The following is an 18,371-nucleotide window of genomic DNA, read 5'->3' on the forward strand; positions in this document are numbered from 1 at the left end:
GGGGTTTCTTGTACAGATTATTTCGTCACCCAGGTATTAAGCCTAGTATACATTAGTTATTTTTCCTGATCCTCTCCCTCCTCCCACCCTCCACCCTCCAGTAGGCCTCAGTGTGTGTTGTTCCCCTCTATGTGTCCGTGTGTTCTCATCATTTAGTTCCCACTTATAAGTGAGAACATGCAGTATTTGGTTTTCTGTTCCTGTGTTAGTTTGCTAAGGATAACGGCCTCCAGCTCCATCCATGTTCCTGCAAAGGACATGATCTCATTCTGTTTTATGGTTGCATAGCATTCCATGATGTATATGTACCACATTTTCTTTATCCAGTCTATCATTGATGGGTTGATTCCATGTCTTTGCTATTGTGAACAGTGCTGCAATGAACATACGTGTGCATGTGTCTTTATGGTAGAATGATTTATAAATCATTACTAGGTATATAACTCCTTCGGGTATATACCTAGTAATGAGATCACTGGGTCCAATAGTATTTCTGTCTTTAGGTCTTTGAGGAATCACCACACTGTCCGCAATGATTAAACTAATTTACACTCCCACCAATGGTGTATAAGCATTCCTTTTTCTCCACAACCTCACCAGCATCTGTTATTTTTTGACTTTTTAGTAATAGCCAGTTTTGACTGGTGTGAGATGGTATCTCATTGTGGTTTTGATTTGCATTTCTCTAATGATCAGTGATGTTGAGATTTTTTCACATGATTATTGGCCGCTTGTGTCTGTCACCCTTACTCTGCCACTCTCCCAACTCCATTATCCCCTGAGTCTGTCCAGCAAGTGAGACCACCTCCAGCCGTACATTATCAGGGAGATGGTCATTTAACAAACCAGTTCTTTTTTTCTTTTTTCTTTTCTTTTCTTTCTTTCTTTCTTTTTTTTTGAGACAGAGTCTCACTGTGTCACCTAGGCTGGAGTGCAGTGGCGCAATCTCAGCTCACTGCAACCACCACTCGCCTCACGGGTTCAAGCACCTCTCTAGTAGCTGGGATTACAGGCACATGCTACCACACCTGGCTAATTTTTGTATTTTTAGTAGGGACAGAGTTTCACCATATTGGGTCAGGCTGGTCTCGGACTCTTGATCTCAGATGATCCACCTGCCTCAGCCTCTCAAAGTGCTGGGATTACAGGCGTGAGCCACCATGCCCGGCCCAGTCCTTCATTTTTTAAAGCACCTGGGTAACATCTGGTTCCTTGAATGTATCCCTGTGTTGTTCAGAAGCAGGAAGTGGCTACTCTGCTCTGGAAGATCCAGAACTTGGCAATCTATTCGTTTGTCCCTGCATTTGCTTGTTTTTCCAAGCAGGGATTATCCCCGGGCCCTGCCAGACTGCCAGATGGCATGGCCCCACTGGGGACAAGCCAGACTTCCTGATGACTTTTTGGATCTTAGCTCTCGGGCTGCTCCGCCACCGAGACCAACCTCTGTGATGAGGTTCCGGAACCCTGGGCCTGCCCTAATACTTGCTCACACTCTTCCTTTCTTCTTCCTCTCCTCTGATCAGCATGACCTTGGTCCTGTGTGCCCTGATGTAAACTGCCCTGTTTTAGGATGAGGATTAGCAGACCATGGGGAATGCAAAAGAAGTGAAGACTCGACCAGGAAACAATCGGCAAGAAAGCACACCAAGCCCCCAATTTGGTGGTCTCAATAGGAAGAAAGAAAGGGATATTGGGAAATGTCAGGTAAGTTAGGATAGGATCCTTGGGAAAAGGGCTCTCTTGGAAATCTTAACAATACATACATTACATGCATTTAGTGTCTTATTGAAAGGAAGAGGCTTTCCGTCAATGCACCTAAAACTCTAATTCTTTGACTCTCTCCAGCTGCGTAGTTGAAAGTGCTTGGGTATCTTAAGTTCAGCCCTCTGACAACTTTTTTTTTTTTTTTTTTTTTTTAAGATGGAGTCTTGCACTGTTGCCCAGGCTGGAGTGCAGTGGCGTGATCTTGGCTCACTGCAACCTCTGCCTCCCAGGTTCAAGTGATTTTCCTAACTCAGCCTCTGGAGTAGCTGGGATTATAGGTGCCTGCCACCACGCCCAGCTCATTTTTGTATTTTTAGTAGAGACAGGGTCTCGCTATGTTGGCCAAGCTGGTCTCAAATTCTTTAGTTCAAGTGATCCGCTTGCCTCGGCCTCCCAAAGTGTTAGGGTTATAGGTGTGAACCACCACTTCTGGCTCCTCCTGACATATTTTAAGTTCTGTGTAAAGCAAACTTGCCCACCCTGTGGCCCACAGGTCATATGAGGCCCAGGATGGCTTTGAATGTGGCCCAACACAAATTCATAAACTTTCTTAAAACATTATGAGGTTTTTCTTTGCAATTTTTAATTTTTTTTTTAGCTCATTACCTATTGTTAGTGTTAATGTATTTTATGTGTGGCCCAAGACAATCCTTCTTCCAGTGTGGCGGAGGGAAGCCAAAAGATTGGACACCCCTGACCTAAAGGTTTCTCTGTCCACAGTTAACTAACCTACTTGGATGTGTAAACAGACACTTACTCTTTGTCAATCACTGAGTTTTGGCCAGTCAGAGGCGGCCACCTGTTCAAACCAGGTTCTAATAGGGCAAACCCCGAGTTGTAACCAATCAGCTGTTTCTGCACCTCACTTCTGTTTTGGAGCCCTCACTTTCCTTTTTCTGTCCATAAATCTTTTCTTGCCACGTGGCTGATCAGGGGGAGCTGCTGGATTTGCAATCGTTCTTTGCTTGATTAAACTCTGTTTAGGCCGGGTGTGGTGGCTCAGGCCTGTAATCCCAGCACGTTGGGAGGCCGAGGAGGGCGGATCATGAGGTCAGGAGTTCAAAACCAGCCTGATCAACATGGTGAAACCCCGTCTTTTCGAGACCAGCCTGATCAACATGGTGAAACCCTGTCTCTACTAAAAATACAAAAAAAAAAAAAAAAAAAATTAGCTGGGCGTGTTGGCGTGGACCTGTAATCCCAGTTACTCAGGAGGCTGAGGCAGGAGAATCGCTTGAGCCCGGGAGGCAGAGGTTGCAGTGAGCTGAGATTGCGCCACTGCACTCCAGCCTGGGTGACAGAGCGAGACTCCATCTCAAGAAAACCAAAACCCAAAAAACTCTGTTTAATGTAATTTGTCAAAACTTTTTTTTTTTTCGTAAGTGTCTCTACCCAGACGAGGCAAAATGTCTCCTCCGTGCCAGGCATGAAGCTGCATGTGTGTCATCCTGTTGACTTTAGTTCTCATTGTCACGTTATCCAAAAAGTTCGAACAACCATTAAGTGGCAGAGAGGCGATTTGAACTCAGGTCTTCCTGATTCCAAGGCAAAGATGACATTTTCACAAACACCATGATGGAGGAAGACCTTGAAGGACCCAGGACAAGGAAGGCTTGGGGACATGAGTCATTTACTGAGTATGACAGAAGGAGGAAGCATTTAGGCAAAGGCATGGAGGTCAGTTGAGAGGGGACCCCCATGGAGCTGCCACAGTGGGTAGGTTGAGAAGGGAGGTGAGAGGTAGGCGCTTGGGTCTGGGACTAGGGAGTTTTGATTTGATACAGCGGGCTGGGTTTCAGGGAGCCCGGGAAGGTTCCTGAAAAGAAAGTGCTGGGTCAGAAATGACATTTGAGAAAGACTGTCATTTGCCATTGGGTGCAAGGCAGTGCTTCAGCGAAAGGAAAGGGCAGGGAGATGTGTTAAGAGGAAATTCTGGGCCAGGTGCAATGGCTCATGCCTGTAATCCCAGCACTTTGGGAGGCTGAGGCAGTGGATCATTTGAGATCAGGAATTCAAGACCAGCCTGGCCAACATGGTGAAACCCTGTCTCCACTAAAAATACAAAAATTAGTCAGGCGTGGTGGCGGGCGCCTGTAATCTCGGGAGGCTGAGGCAGGAGAATCGCTTGAACCCGGGAGGTGGAGGTTGCAGTGAGCAGAGATCACACCACTGCACTCCAGCCTGGGCGACAGAGTGAGACTCTGTCTCAAAAAAAAAAAAAGAGAAATTTTGTGTGCTGTGTTGATTCTCAGATGAGTCCTGAGCTTACTGACTTAGAAAAGTGGCTTTGTCCTTAGCCTCCTTGTTGATCTCTGGGAGGGACTTGGAGACCCCAAAGACAGCATGTTCCCTTCTCCCTCTGACTAAGGGGGCTGTGGTAGCTGGGCCACACATTTCTTTGATTTTGCCTGGAAAACGGAGAAAAGTCCTCGCGGGACTGGCTGTGCTTCTGCAGAAGTATTTATGAGCTGTGAGACTGAAGATCGTAAGGCTCATATATTTTGCTTTTTACAAAAGCTAATAACTAAAGAAAATGTTTTCTCCATCAGAGAAACTTCAAAGATCCTAGAGAAGAATGCACTAAAACTTATTGAAAGGCGGCATTGCACACATCTTGAATATAGGCACCAGAGAATGTCCTGAAGCCAGGCAGGCCCCTTCACAGTTTAAGGATTTCTCTGTTTTTCTTCATCGCTCGCAATCAAATGCAGCACTGAAGCTGTTAGGCATTTGGCTGTGGCCATCTGCAGGGCAGGCTTGCCAGCCAGATTCTTTTTCATCCAGAGGAGAAGGCTTACAGAGGCGGGAACAATTGAAAACATCTCCTCATTTAAAAACATAAAAATTTAAAACCTCCCTGCTGCCGTTGAGGGGCAAATTGGCTTCATGATCCTTTGCACTGAGCATAGGGAGTTATTTAGGGCAATTACGCAGAAAGGCGGAGAGTGGTGACATCCCAGGAGCCTGGGCCTGCAGTTACTCGTTGGATTGAGTTGGCTGAGTTAGTTTAGCTTGCCGAGCCTCGCTTTTATCACCTATTAATTGGGATAGTATTTGCCCAGACTGTTTCACAGGGCCATTGAGAAGATCAAAGGAGATTATGTTGGAATATGGGTGTGAGTGTATGTGTGTGTGGGTGTATATGTGTATGTGTGTATTCACATTCTTGCTTTAAAGAGAGGATTGGCTGGGCACAGTGGCTCGTGCCTCTAATCTCAGCACTTTGGGAGTCACTCAAGGCCAGGCGTTTGAGACCTGCCTGGGCAACATAGCAAGACCCCATCTGTTAAAAAAAATTAGCTAGGCATGGTGGTGCTTGTCTGTAATCCCAACACTTTGGGAGTTTGAGGCAGAAGATGACTAGAAGCGAGGAGACTGAGGTTGCATTGAGCTATGACGGTGTCACTGCACTCCAGCCTGGATGACAGAGCAAGACCCTGTCTCTAAAAAATAAATAAAGAGGGAGGATTTCTGTTTTCCCCAGGAATTGACTTCCTCTCAAGGGAGAGGGGAGGCTTGTCTGCTGGGTCAGAGCCTGGCAGCCATGTGTGGAGGTTTCTCAGTGAGTCCGTGAGTGCTCAGTGTGCACTCTCTGCTCCAGCCCCACCAGCTGGATGGATCCTGCCAGCCCTAGTGGACATCATCATCACAGCCGGCTGTGAGACCCCTAGGATGTGGGGTCTGCAGACCGTAGCAAGCCTTTGTGTGATGATCCCAAGGTGGAAGGTGAAAGGCTCCCTGCTCCCCTGTGTCTTGGAGGTGACTGGGCACTTGCCTAGCGTGTGTTCTACAGCTTTTAAAAAATTTTATTATATTTTATCTTCCGGGATCCACATGCAGAAAGTGCAGGTATATTACATAGGTGTGTGCCATGGTGGTTTGCGGTACCTATCACCCCATTACGTAGGTTTTAAGCCCTGCATGCATTAGCTATTGGTCCTGATGCTTTCCTTCCCCTTGTCCCCCACCGACAGGCCCTGGTGTGTGATGTTCCCCTCCCTGTGTCCGTGTGTTCTCATCATTCAGCTCCCACTTATGAGTGAGAACATACTGTGCATGGTTTTCTGTTCCTGTGTTAGTTTGCTGAGGATAATGGCTTGCAGCTTCATCTATGTCCCTGTGAAAGATATGATCTCATTCCTTTTTTATGGCTGCATAGTATTCCATGGTATGTATTTACCACATTTTCTTTATCCAGTCTATCACTGATGGGCATTTGAGTTGGTTCCATGTCTTTGCTATTGTGAATTGTGCCTACAGCTATTTTTGGCTCCCGATTGGATGTGATCTCTGTGTGGGGAAAACCATTGAGTCTTGGGCCCAGAAAATGCTACAAGGACAGAACTTGTTTCTCACCATTTTTTACTGGATTAAAACTGAGGACCAATTTCTGGCAAAATTTGTGAACACTGAAAAGTGTGTCACTGGGCTCCTGGCTGCCTCTCCCTGCAGTCACATTTTCTACTTCCCTCCACTGCATTGAAACTGATTTCCAGAAAGACATCAGTGCTAGTCATCTATACTTTAAAGAGAGTTTGGGTTCATTCATCTCATGTCCCCAGTGGATTTGCATTTAAAGCTGGTTGTTAATTGTGGAAATAAGGCTTCAATTACCCATTAGAAAGATTTTATTGAGAGAGGGCAGCAGGAAGGATTTCCTGACATCTCTGATATTTTGCTCCCTAAATTGCCCTCTCTGCTTCCTTAATGGAAAACCAGCCCCATCCACTGTCCCTAAGAACGCAAGGGCTTGATCCTGACACTCCTCTTGTGACCCGCTCAATACCCTTTTAAAGACTGCTCTTCAAAAAACAAACAACCCCATTAAAAAGTGGGCAAAGGACACGAACAGACACTTTTCAAAAGAAGATATACATGCGGCCAACAAACACAGCAAAAATGCTGAACATCACTAACCAGTAGATAAATGCAAACCAAAACCATAATAAGATACCATCTCACACCAGTCAGAACGACTGTTATTGAAAAGTCAAGGCCAGGTGCCTTGGCTCACACCTGTAATTCCAGTACTTTGAGAGGCCAAGGCAAGAGAATGGTTTGAGCCCAGGAGTTTGAGACCAGCCTGGGCAACATGGTGAAACTTTGTCTCTACCAAAAATATAAAAATTAGCCAGGTGTGGTGGCACATGCTTGTGATTCCAGCTACTTGGGAGGCTGAGGTGGGAGGATTGTTTGAAACTGGGAGGTCAAAGCTGCGGTGAGCTGTGACTGTGTCACTGTACTCCAGTCTGGGCAACAAAGTGAGACCCTGTCTCAAAAAAAACCCCAAAAAACAAAAAAACAAAAAGCAAAACAAGACTGGAAAAATAACATGTTGGACCAGGTGCAGTGGCTCACGCCTGTAATCCCAGCACTTTGGGAGGCCGAGGCAGGCGGATCACCTGAGGTCAGGAGTTTGAGACCAGCCTGCCCAACATGGTGAAACCCTGTCTCTACTAAAAATACAAAAAATTAGCCGGGTGTGGTGGCGGGTGCCTGTAATCCCAGCTACTCGGGAGGCTGAGGCAGGAGAATTGCTTGAACCTGGGAGGCAGAGGTTGTGGTGAGCTGAGATCGCACCACTGCACTCCAGCCTGGGCAACAAGAGCGAAACTCTGTCTCAAAAACAAAAAACAGCTGGGCGCGGTGGCTCACGCCTGTAATCCCAGCACTTTGGGAGGCTGAGGCGGGTGGATCACGAGATCAGGAGATGGAGACCATCCTGGCTAACGTGGTGAAACCCCGTCTCTACTAAAAATACAAAAAAATTGGCCAGGCATGCTGGCGGGCGCCTGTAGTCCCGGCTACTTGGGAGGCTGAGGCAGGAGAACGGCATGAACCTGGGAGGCGGAGGTTGCAGTGAGCCGAGATCGCACCACTGCACTCTAACCTGGGTGACAGAGTGAGACTCCGTCTCAAAATAAAAATAAAAATAAAAATAAAAATAAAAATAAAAAAATAAAACAAAAAACAAAAAACATGTTGGCGAGGCTGTAGAGAGAAGGGAATGTGTATACACTGCTGGTAGGAATGCAAATTAGTTCAGCCATGGTATAAAACAGTTTGATGATTTATTAAATAATTTAAAATAGAACTACTATTCAATTCAGAAATCCCATTACTGGGCATATGCCCAAAGGCATCTAAGTCATTCTACCATAAAGACACATGTGTGTGGATGCTCATCGCAGCACTATTCGCAGAAGCCAAGACACGGAATCAGTGTAAATGCCCATTAATGATAGACTGGATAAAGAACATGTGGTCCATATAAATCATAGAATACTATGCAGCCATAAAAAATAAGGAGATCATGTCGTTTGCAGGAATATGGATGGAGCTGGAGGCCACTATCCTAAGTGAACTAACACAAGAACAAAAAACCAAATACTGCATGTTCTATCTTGTAAGTGGGAGCTAAACATTGAGTACACATAGACAGAAAGAAAAGAACAACAGATACTGGGGCCTACTTGAGGGTGGAGGGTGGGAGAAGGGTGAGGATGAAAAGACTATCCATTGAGTACTATGCGTATTATCTGGGTGACAAAATAATCTCTGTACCAAACTTCCATAACACTCAATTTACCCATATGACAAACCTGCACGTATACTCCCTGAACCTAAAATAAAACTTTAAAAAAGACTGCTGTCAATTTTAAGGATGGGGTAATAGTTGACAATTTCAGTGTCTGTCTAAGTGACTCTTTAGGATTCATTTGTGTGATCTGCTGATCCCGAAACAAGAATATCATGGCAGCACAAAAGCCTCTAAATGGTTGGAAGTAAAAGAAAAGAAAAAGGTATAATTAGTTTATCCAGAATTGTTCTTTTAAGGAAAATGGAGCGTAGACTTTGTTGAAACACCCAGTTTAACAGAAATATCCTACATTTTTTGAGGGCTTCTTCTGTGCCAGTCCCCTGGGCTGAGAGCTTTGCGTTTAAGTCTGATGTCCACTCTTTGCAAGGGATACTATTGTCATATTTGTTTTTCAGATAAAGAAACTAAGGGTTAGAAAGATAAGTAACTTGCCCAAGTCCACCCAGTTTGCAAGAAGTCAGAGGTGGGGATTATCCACCAGCCCTCTGTAAGGTTCTCTTCTTGCATTGCTGATGTGTCAGTTGACAAAATGTTTGTCTGTGAGTAAGAGAAAAATCCACTACAATAGCTTAACCAAGCAAGAGTTTGTTTTCCCCACATAATCAGAAACTCATGAGCAAGCAATCCGTGGCTGGTTCAGGTCCTTCTCTAATTCTGCTCCATCTTCCTTAGCATGTGTCTTCCATCCTCAGGGTCACAAAGTAGCTGCTGCACTGCACTGCTTTGCACCTGCATTCCAGGCAGGAAGAAGGAGGAAGAGACAAAGGAATTTCTCCTTGCTGGGCTTTGCCTTTTCAATCTGAAAGGGTTGGTTTCTCTACTAAATTTCTGTTTATATCTCCTTGTCCAAAACTCTGTCATTCCTAACTGAAAAGGAGACTGGAGATTGCATATTTTAGTTTTCCTAAATAGAAGAAGGGGAGAAACACAGGGCTTGGAATAGTTGGGGAAGGCAATCTGCAGTTTTTCCTTAGGTGTTTTTTTTTTTTTTTTTTTTTTTTTTGAGTCAGAGTCTCACTCTGACACCCAGGCTGGAGTGCAGTGACACGATCTCGGCTCACTAAAATCTCCACCTCCCAGGTTCAAGTGATTCTCCTGCCTCAGCCTCCTGAGTAGCTGGGATTACAGGCACCTGCCACCACGCCTGGTTAATTTTTAGTAGAGTTGGGGTTTCACCATGTTGGCCAGGCTGGTCTCAAACTCCTGACCTCAAGTGATCCACCTGCCTCAGCCTCCCAAATTGATGGGATTACAGGCATGAGCGGCTGCAATGGCCTTTTCTCAGCTTTTGACTTAAATGCTTTGCTCCAAAGGTTACTGGTGGGCGTGGCTAGGGCTGTGCCATAATTTTCCCTAGAGAGAGGATCCCTCCACATAACCATATTGTACTAAATAAAACCCCTGCTTCCTCAGCCCCTCCCAGGTGGCAATCTGCCTGCCTCTACTTGTAGGCTCAGCTCTGCAGTTACCCGAATCAGCCCCAGAGCACCAGAGTGTCCCACCATTGGTCTCGTGGGAGCTTAAGGTTGCATGGATCTTCTCAAGTTTAGTGTTTCTTGACCTCTGATCCATGTCAGTCCAGCTAGGATCACTGACTTGTTTGACTGTGGCAGGCAGAAGTCCTCTTTGGGGCTTGCTAGTTGCTGTGGTCACCTTGCAAAGGTGAGATGGCCATTCCCTGCCCCCAAAATTTGACTTATATATTATCAAGGCTGATGATGCCACACACACACTAAGAGAGTATGAGAGGATTTATTACTCAGGTAATAAGGCTTTCTGGAGGGAACAGGGCGTGCTCTCGAGCTGGTCTGGCAATGGCATGAGAGAGCAGGGAGAGAAGACTGTCTTGGGGTGTTATGGTAGTGTCATAGTCAGCTCAGGCAGCCATAATAGGACATCATAGACTGGGTGGCTTAAACAATAAAAATTTACATAGTTCTGGAGCCCGGGAAGTCCAAGATCAGGGTGTTAGCATGGCCAGATTCTGGTGAGGGCTCTCTTCTTGGCTTGTGGGCAGCCACCTTCCTGCTGTGTCCTCATAAGACAGAGAGAGAGAGAGAGGGAGCAAGCAAGCTCTCTGGTGTCTTCTTATGAAGACACTAATCATGGGGACCCCATCTTTATGACCTCATCTAAATGTAAAAATCTCCCAAACACCACCATCTCCAAATACCATCCCATTGGAAGTTACGCCTTCAACATATGGATTTTGGAGGGCAGAATTTGGTTCATAGCAGGTGGCCTAGAGGTCGGAGCCAGAGTGAGAGTTCCCATGCACATGGGAGTGGAGGCTTGTATGACTTAAACTTCCCACCTATGCCAACGCAGGGAGAGCCCAGGCTTTCTCATCATCTTGCTGAGATGTGGGCAGAAGGGGAAGGAGACTTAGTGAGACTTGAAACCTATCATCAGTCAAACATTAAAAGTGGAGTCAGCCTCGATTACACCAGTCCTCTCCCTTGGGCTTCCCTCACGTGCCCGGTCTGTGTCCTGATGCCTGGGACTGTGAAGTTGCTCCCTGTCAACACCAAGTGTCATCTGCTACTCATCAGTGTTCTGTCCCCTGCATAGGCCTCCTTGGACCTCTGTGTACTCCTGAACTATGCTTTAGTTCACTGTGGTCCTGGGCCCTGTCTACTGAACCCAGGTTAACTCTCCCAGAGCCAGTCATTCTACAACTGATTTGACTCTTCTCCTTATCTTCTAGCTGTGTTGTGAGACCCCAGCATAATGTAGAACCCCATGTGGCCAAAGCTTTTGGGGTGAATACCTATGTAAAGGACTGTGATCATGCGGGGAGGGTAATCTGCTACCTCTGTGACTTTTAGCCCTGGCCCCTCCACGAGACCTACAGCTGTTTATGCCCAGAGAGAAATGGAAATACTTCATTACCCTCATCCTCATCAGAGATTTCCTGGACATCTCTTGGCAACCCTAATCCACAGCATAGCCTGGACACTCAAGGAGATAGGCGGGGTCCCCTCCCTGAAGGGACTTATGGTCAGATTGGGAGGCAAGATTTACATATGCAAAGAAATATGGAAAAAAAGCAGGAAATAGGTGCCAAATAACTGGGACAAAGTAATGATTTCAAGAGATCATTGAGGGTTGGCACAATAAGAGAGGCTTCCTGGGAGAGATGGGCGCTTGAGCCAAGCCGTGGGAGGGTGAGATATTGATAAGTACGTGTGTGACAGCAGCTGTTAGATGCCTTCTTTCCCATGTGTAGACTCCTGTTAGTGATCATGGAGGGGAGTTTGATAGTATGAGCCTGAAATATTCAGAATTCTTGGCCAGGTGCAGTGTGGCTCATGCCTATAATTCCAGCACTTTGGAAGGCCGAGGTGGGAGAATCACATGAGCTCAGGAGTTTGAGACCAGTGTGGGCAACATGGTGAGATTCCATCTCTGCTAAAAAAAAAAAAAATTAGCCTGATGTGGTGGTGCACACCTGTGGCCCCAGCTACTCAGAAGTCTAAAGCAGGAGGATCACTTGAGACTGGGAGATCGAGGGTGCAGTGAGCTATGAAGGCATCATTTCACTCCAGCCTGGGTGACAGAGCGAGACCCTGTACCTAAATAAATAAATAAATAAATAAATCTCTAGAATGATTCTTCTCATGGGAGAGCTTATTAGAACCACTAAGAAGGGTAGAAAATAGGACTAAGACTGCTGATTCCTATTTTGTGAGCTCTTCTCCAAGGTCTTCAAACGTCTTCCTTAGCAGAAGGAGGAGAATGTTTTCTTAGGCCCTTATCCAAAATGCATAAGAGACAAGTAACTGTTTTATAAACCTAACATAAATGTTAAGTTCTTTCTTATAAACCTAACATAAATGTTAAGTTCTTTCTCATGTTTTCCACATGAACTAGTTTTAGACGGCTCATTTCAGTTCTTTGGGGCTTAGTTTACCCATTTGCCTAATGAGTCAGTGGCTATATGAATATCAGCAACTAATCATTGTATATCATTGCAAATTGACAAGACAGTTCTCCTTGTACAAGCTTGTTTTCCTTACTCGTCATAACTCTGTGATGTGTACTTTTTTTTTTTTTTTTTTTTTTTTGAGACAAGGTCTTCCTCTGTCGCCCAGGCTGGAGTGCAGTGGCACAATCTCAGCTCACTACAACCTCCACCTCCTGGGTTCAAGTGATTCTCAAGCCTCAGCCTCCTGAGTCACTAGGATTATAGGCACCTGCCACCACGCCTGGATAATTTTTATATTTTTTAAAGTAGAGATGGGGTTTCACCATGTTGGCCAGGCTGGTCTTGAACTCCTGACCTTAAGTGATCTGCCTGTCTCCACCTCCCAAAGTGGTGGGATTATAGGCGTGAGCCACCGTGCCCCAACCGGTGTGTGCTACTTTTTGTATTTTATGGAAAATATCTTTTAAAATGAGGTTCAGGAAAATTTGCACTTTTTCTAAGATTGTGTGTGTGTGTGTGTGTGTATAAATGTGCATAAATAAGAGTGATAACCTGAGCTCAGCTCTTTTAGATAACTCCTAGAATCTTGTTGCCTCAAACTACCAAACAAAGACTCATACAATGCAAGCAAAGTGCATCACAAACCAAAAGCAAACCAAAACCCTTCAAGCTAAAAATTGGGGAAACACACCGGAAAATTCCTTGATAATGTCAGAGTGCTGTGCAAAGGTGGAGGGTTATTATTACTGTTCTTTGTTTTGCAATAACTCAGCATAAGCAGAGGTCATGGTCAAGTTGACTGTACGGTGGGTGCATGGCTTATATGGTCCTCAACCTTCCCTTGAATACAACATCTCCATCCTCTGGATACTGGGGTCTTCTGTCAGCTGGAGGGGCCTTGACTTGATCTTTGGATGTTGATATGTTTTTGGATAAATACTCTCTCTCTCTCTCTTTCACACACACACACACACACACACACACACACACACTCACACAACTTTCTCTTGTTGTTTGTATTGGCCTTCAAGTTCTTGGTTGCATTATACAGTGAGCTGGAACTCTTGATAAAGGAGTTCTGTACAGTGATGACAAGAATTGATTTCCAATTTCCTGCAGAATGACTCTATCATTGCTAGTGACTCAGGCAATTTAGCTCATATTCCAGGCCTGCCTGGGGGCTATAGATCACACTGACAGCTTCCCAGTTATGCAGGAGGTGGATTTTGACAAGATGAGGAAAGGGACATTTTCAAAGAGTCTTGCACTGGGGATGGCCAGAAGGGAATGGCTGCCCCAGGGCTTTGGGCCATATGAGTGTTGTGTTGAGAGTAGACATGTCTTTGCTGTCATGGGGATGCTGGTTCATGGTCGGGCTTCCATTAGCTGCCCAGGCCAGCCCTTCTCCTCACCCCATAAACTGTCCAGTCCTGCTTAATCACAAGAACATTCTATTCCCCAGCCAAAAGACAGAGGAGATACATTTCCTTTAGTTTCCTCCTACAAAATAACATTTAGACAGCATGAGTAGAGGGCAAAACAAAGTGTGCAATATGCATGTATTTAACAAGCTGCCTGGGGGCAGGTGTGGTGGCTCACGCCTGTAATCCCAGCAATTTGGGAGGCTGAGACGGGTGGATCACGAGGTCAGGAGATCGAGACCATCCTGGCTAACACAGTGAAACCCTGTCTCTACTAAAAATACAAAAAATTAGCCGGGTGTGGTGGCGGGCACCTGTAGTCCCAGCTACTCGAGAGGCTGAGGCAGGAGAATGGCATGAACCTGGGAGGCGGAGCTTGCAGTGAGCCAAGATTGCAGCCACTGCACTCCAGCCTGGGCGACAGAGCGAGACTCCGTCTCAAAAAAAAAAAAAAAAAAAAAGAAAAAAGAAAGAAAGAAAAACAAGCTGCCTGGCCTGGTGGAAGGTGCATGGGAGACTAAGTTGGTTTTGTTTTTAGTTTTCTCATAGGCTTTTCCATGTACTGTTTGTGTGAACATGGGCACATCATGTAGCCTCTCTGAGCTTCAGCTGATTCATCTGTTAATGGAGACAATTATATTACCTATGGGGTTGCTGGGGAGAGGGGGTTAGATGAAATAATTTGTAAGAGCTCAAAATTAGTTGAATCAGAATCTGTTTTCTTGTTGGATTCTTCTCTTCATTTAACAACAAGCCCTGAGCCCTTATTTTGTTTCTGCTTGCATCAGGCCTTGCGGACACAACAGAAGTGTCTTAGTTCATTTGTGCTGCTATGATAAAATATCACAGACTGGGTAATTTACAAAGAATGGAAATTTATTTCTCATGGTTCTGGAGGCTGGGAAGTCCAAGGCCAAGATGCTGGCAGGTTTAGTGTCTGGTGAGGAATTGGTTTCCATTTCCAAGAGAGCACCTGGTGGCTGCATCCCCAGGAGGGGAGAAACGCTGTGTTCCCACGTGGCAGAAGGGCAAGAGAGTGCTCCCTTTAACCTTGAGCCCTTTTATAATAATCCATTCATGAGGGCAGAGCTCTCATGACTTAATCATTCCCCAGTGATTAATCACTTCCTCAATGATTTTGAGAGATCATTGAGAGCTGGCCCAATAAGAGGGGCTTCCTGGGGAAGGTGGGCACTTGAACACCTCTTGGTACCACTGCAATGGAGATTAAGTTTCAACACATGAATATTGGAGGGAACACATTTAAGCCATAGTGAGAAGTGCTGGAGAAACAAGGAATGCACACAAACAATTCAATGGGATGGCTTGTTAAATAATGGAACTGCTGTTCCTTTGTTCCCTGGCTGGGTGGGCACTTTCCTCTAAGATCCCGTAGCTCCTTGTGCTGACCCCATCTCTGCGTGGTCTCATCCTATTGCACTTCTCTGTGCTCTGCTGATTGGGCCCAGACCAAGGACTCTGTGAAAGGAGAGGGGGTCATTTCTCATGGATCTCTGGACGCTTGGTGTCAGGTACATGCTCCAGGACATAGTAGTGCTATCTTTATGTGCTTATTTACCATGAAAGCGTGGTTCGTGGGTTGCACAAAGGGTTGGGTTTGGCCAACCTGATTTTTGAATTCCTTGCTAACTTGGCTGCTCCTGAACTTCTCAGCTTGATGAGATCCTAATTTCCCACCTAGGCAAGGCCTTGGTGTTACACCCACCCTGATGCCACCTATGCTTCTTTCTGCCATGTTCTGGCTTTTACTGTCAGCCCAGTTCTGCTTTGGAAGGAAAAGGCAATATGCCCCAGTGGTCCCCACTGGAGTGGCAGCTGTTTGACACCACATGTGTGCCTATGTCCTATTTATCACTTATACTTAGGTTCACATCACCTTTACTACCAAGGTAGCCCTTGGATCTAAAATACTGGTCAGTGCCTTCCTTCACTGTGCCTGGAAAAGTCTTAATTTCTATAGTTTTTTTTTAATGTCTGTAAAGGAAAGATAACAATCACTGATATATTCATTTGTATCTATATCTATATTCATTTATTTTTAGAGATGGAGTCTTGCCCTGTTGCCCGGGCTGGAGTGCAGTGGCTCAATCATAGCTCACTGTAGCCTCAAACTCCTGGGTTCAAGCAATCCTCCCACCTCAGCCTCCTGAGTAGCTGGGACTACAGGCGCACACCACCACATCTGGTTTGTCAATATTATTAGATGATTGTTTGAAATAATGTAGGGAAAGTGCAAAGTAATAAGTAGGACACAAAAAGGTGGAAGAGTAATTAGTATTATCCCTGTTGAGTGATAGACAAATGTACGTATACTGCTTTGTAGAAGATTTAACACAGAGACTGGGTTTTCCCTTTCTCAGTGGACTCAGCAGGTGCATTTCTTTGCATTTACTCATTCATTCATTTTCATCTGCTGAATCTGCATGGATTGCATGTTGGTTACTAGATAAAGCAGCTCTCCTCAGGGTGCACATTGAAATGAAGGACAGTGATCTGCCTCCCAGAGTCATCCAAGCAATTCAGAACATAGCCATGTTAGGACCAGGAGGCCTGCTGTGTGGGCTGTGATGCTGAGCTAAGCCTAATTCATTTAATCTGCATCACAACTCTATGAGGTGGGTCCATGACTACCTCTGGTTTGCAGATGTGGAAACTAAGGCACAGAGGGTAAGAAACTGGCTCAAAGTCCCATTGAAGCAGCATCGTTGTCTGGGGTAAATACCTGAGATTTGTTGTCTCATGGCTGTGGAAAACTAGGACGTGGACACACAGAGGATGAGGTTCAGAGTGAAAGTTTAATAGGCAAAATAAAGAGAAGAGATCTCTGCGGTAGAGAGGGATCCCTGAGAAGTGCGTTGCTGCTTCCAGGGTGAAATGCAGGAGGTTTTATAGATAAGCTTGAGGAGGTGGCATCTGATTTACATAGGGCACGAGAGATTGGTTGGACCAGTGTGTCATTTGCATAGAGCATGAAAAACTGGATAGTGCTAGGTGTGCCATCTGCATAGGGTGCGAATTTCTCATATGATGTGGTTTGGGTCTATGTCCCTGCCCAAATCTCACGTTCAATTGTAATCCCCAACGTTGGAGGTAGGGCCTGGTGGGAGGTGATTGAATCATGGGGGTGGATTTCCCGCTTGGTACTGTCCCTAATCTTTTTTTATGCAGATGGGTTATCTACCTGGCCGGCACCATGTTGCCCATTTCTTTACTGTACACGTGGTGACAAAGAAAAGGGAAGATGGAGCCTCCATGTTGAACATGCCTGGCCCCCAGGTAGCCCTTTTCTATTGGCACAGCTGCCGGCATTCACCTGTGCAAGCTTCCCCCTTGCTTTTCTATGTCTGCAGCTTGATTTTACAGGCTGCTCTTTGTTAGAAAAGAAATGATTTGGAGGCCGCTTTTTTTTTGTAAAAAGGGAAATTCCTCCAAGGACTCTTACTATCACTATCTGCCTAAATAATTTCTTTCTATGTTCTGAATCACCACGAGAGGGTAGAGCAGACATTTGAACTCAGGCCCTGTGCTCTTAAACATGACATGATATCTTACCTAAGCGGTGGATGTAGACAGATGATTTTCCATGTGATGGGGTCAACACAACACCCAGAAATGGGCTATCGTCACCCTGCTTTTGTTAGGACTCAATACATACCCATTATCAAAACTCTTTTTTTTTTTTTTTGAGATGGAGGCTTGCTCTGTTGCCCAGGCTGGAATGCAGTGGCATGATCTCAATGATCTCAGTTCACTGCAACCTCTGCCTCCTGGGTTCAAGTGATTCTCCTGCCTCAGCCTCCCATGTAGCTGGAATTACAGGCACGTACCACCAAGCCTGACTAATTTTTGTATTTTTAGTAGAGACAGGGTTTCACCATGTTGGTCAGGCTGGTCTCGAACTCCTGACCTCATTATCCGCCTGACTCGGCCTTCAAAGTGCTGGGATTACAGGCGTGAGCCACCGCGCCTGGCCATCAAAAGTCTTTTTTATTGCTCTGTAATAGTTATACATATTTATGGGCTACATGTGACATTTGATATATTGTATAATGTGTAATGATCAAATCAGGGTAATTAGAATATCCATCACCTCAAACATTTATCATGTCTTTGTTTTGGGAACTTTCCGGTTCTTCTCTTCTAGCTATTTTGAAATATACAATGAATTATTGTTAACAGTAGTCACTCTACTGTGCTATCAAACACTAGCACTTATTCCATCTGTAACTGTATTTTTGTACCTATTAACCAACCTCTCATCCCTGTCCTTCCACCCTTCTCAGCCTCTGGGAATCATCACTCTACTTTCTTCCTCCATGAGATTGACTTTTTAAGCATATGAATGAGAACCTGCTATTATTGAAGTCTTTGACAGCACAAGTAATTGCTGGAGACCCAGATATTCAGTACACACATGTATGTGGAACTATGAATGTGAACACATACACACACACATGTACACATGCACCCATATGCAAGCACACAGATATGATAAAAGGACTGATATGGTTTGGGTCTGTGTCCCTGCCCAAATCTCACGTCCAGTTGTAATCCCCAACGTTGGAGGTGGGGCCCGGTGGGAGGTGATTGAATCATGCAGGTGGATTTCCTGCTTGGTACTGTGTCGTGCTAGAGA

The sequence above is a fragment of the Homo sapiens genome, chromosome 7 (genome assembly GCF_000001405.40).
Source record: "Homo sapiens chromosome 7, GRCh38.p14 Primary Assembly".
Lineage (NCBI taxonomy): Eukaryota > Metazoa > Chordata > Mammalia > Primates > Hominidae > Homo > Homo sapiens.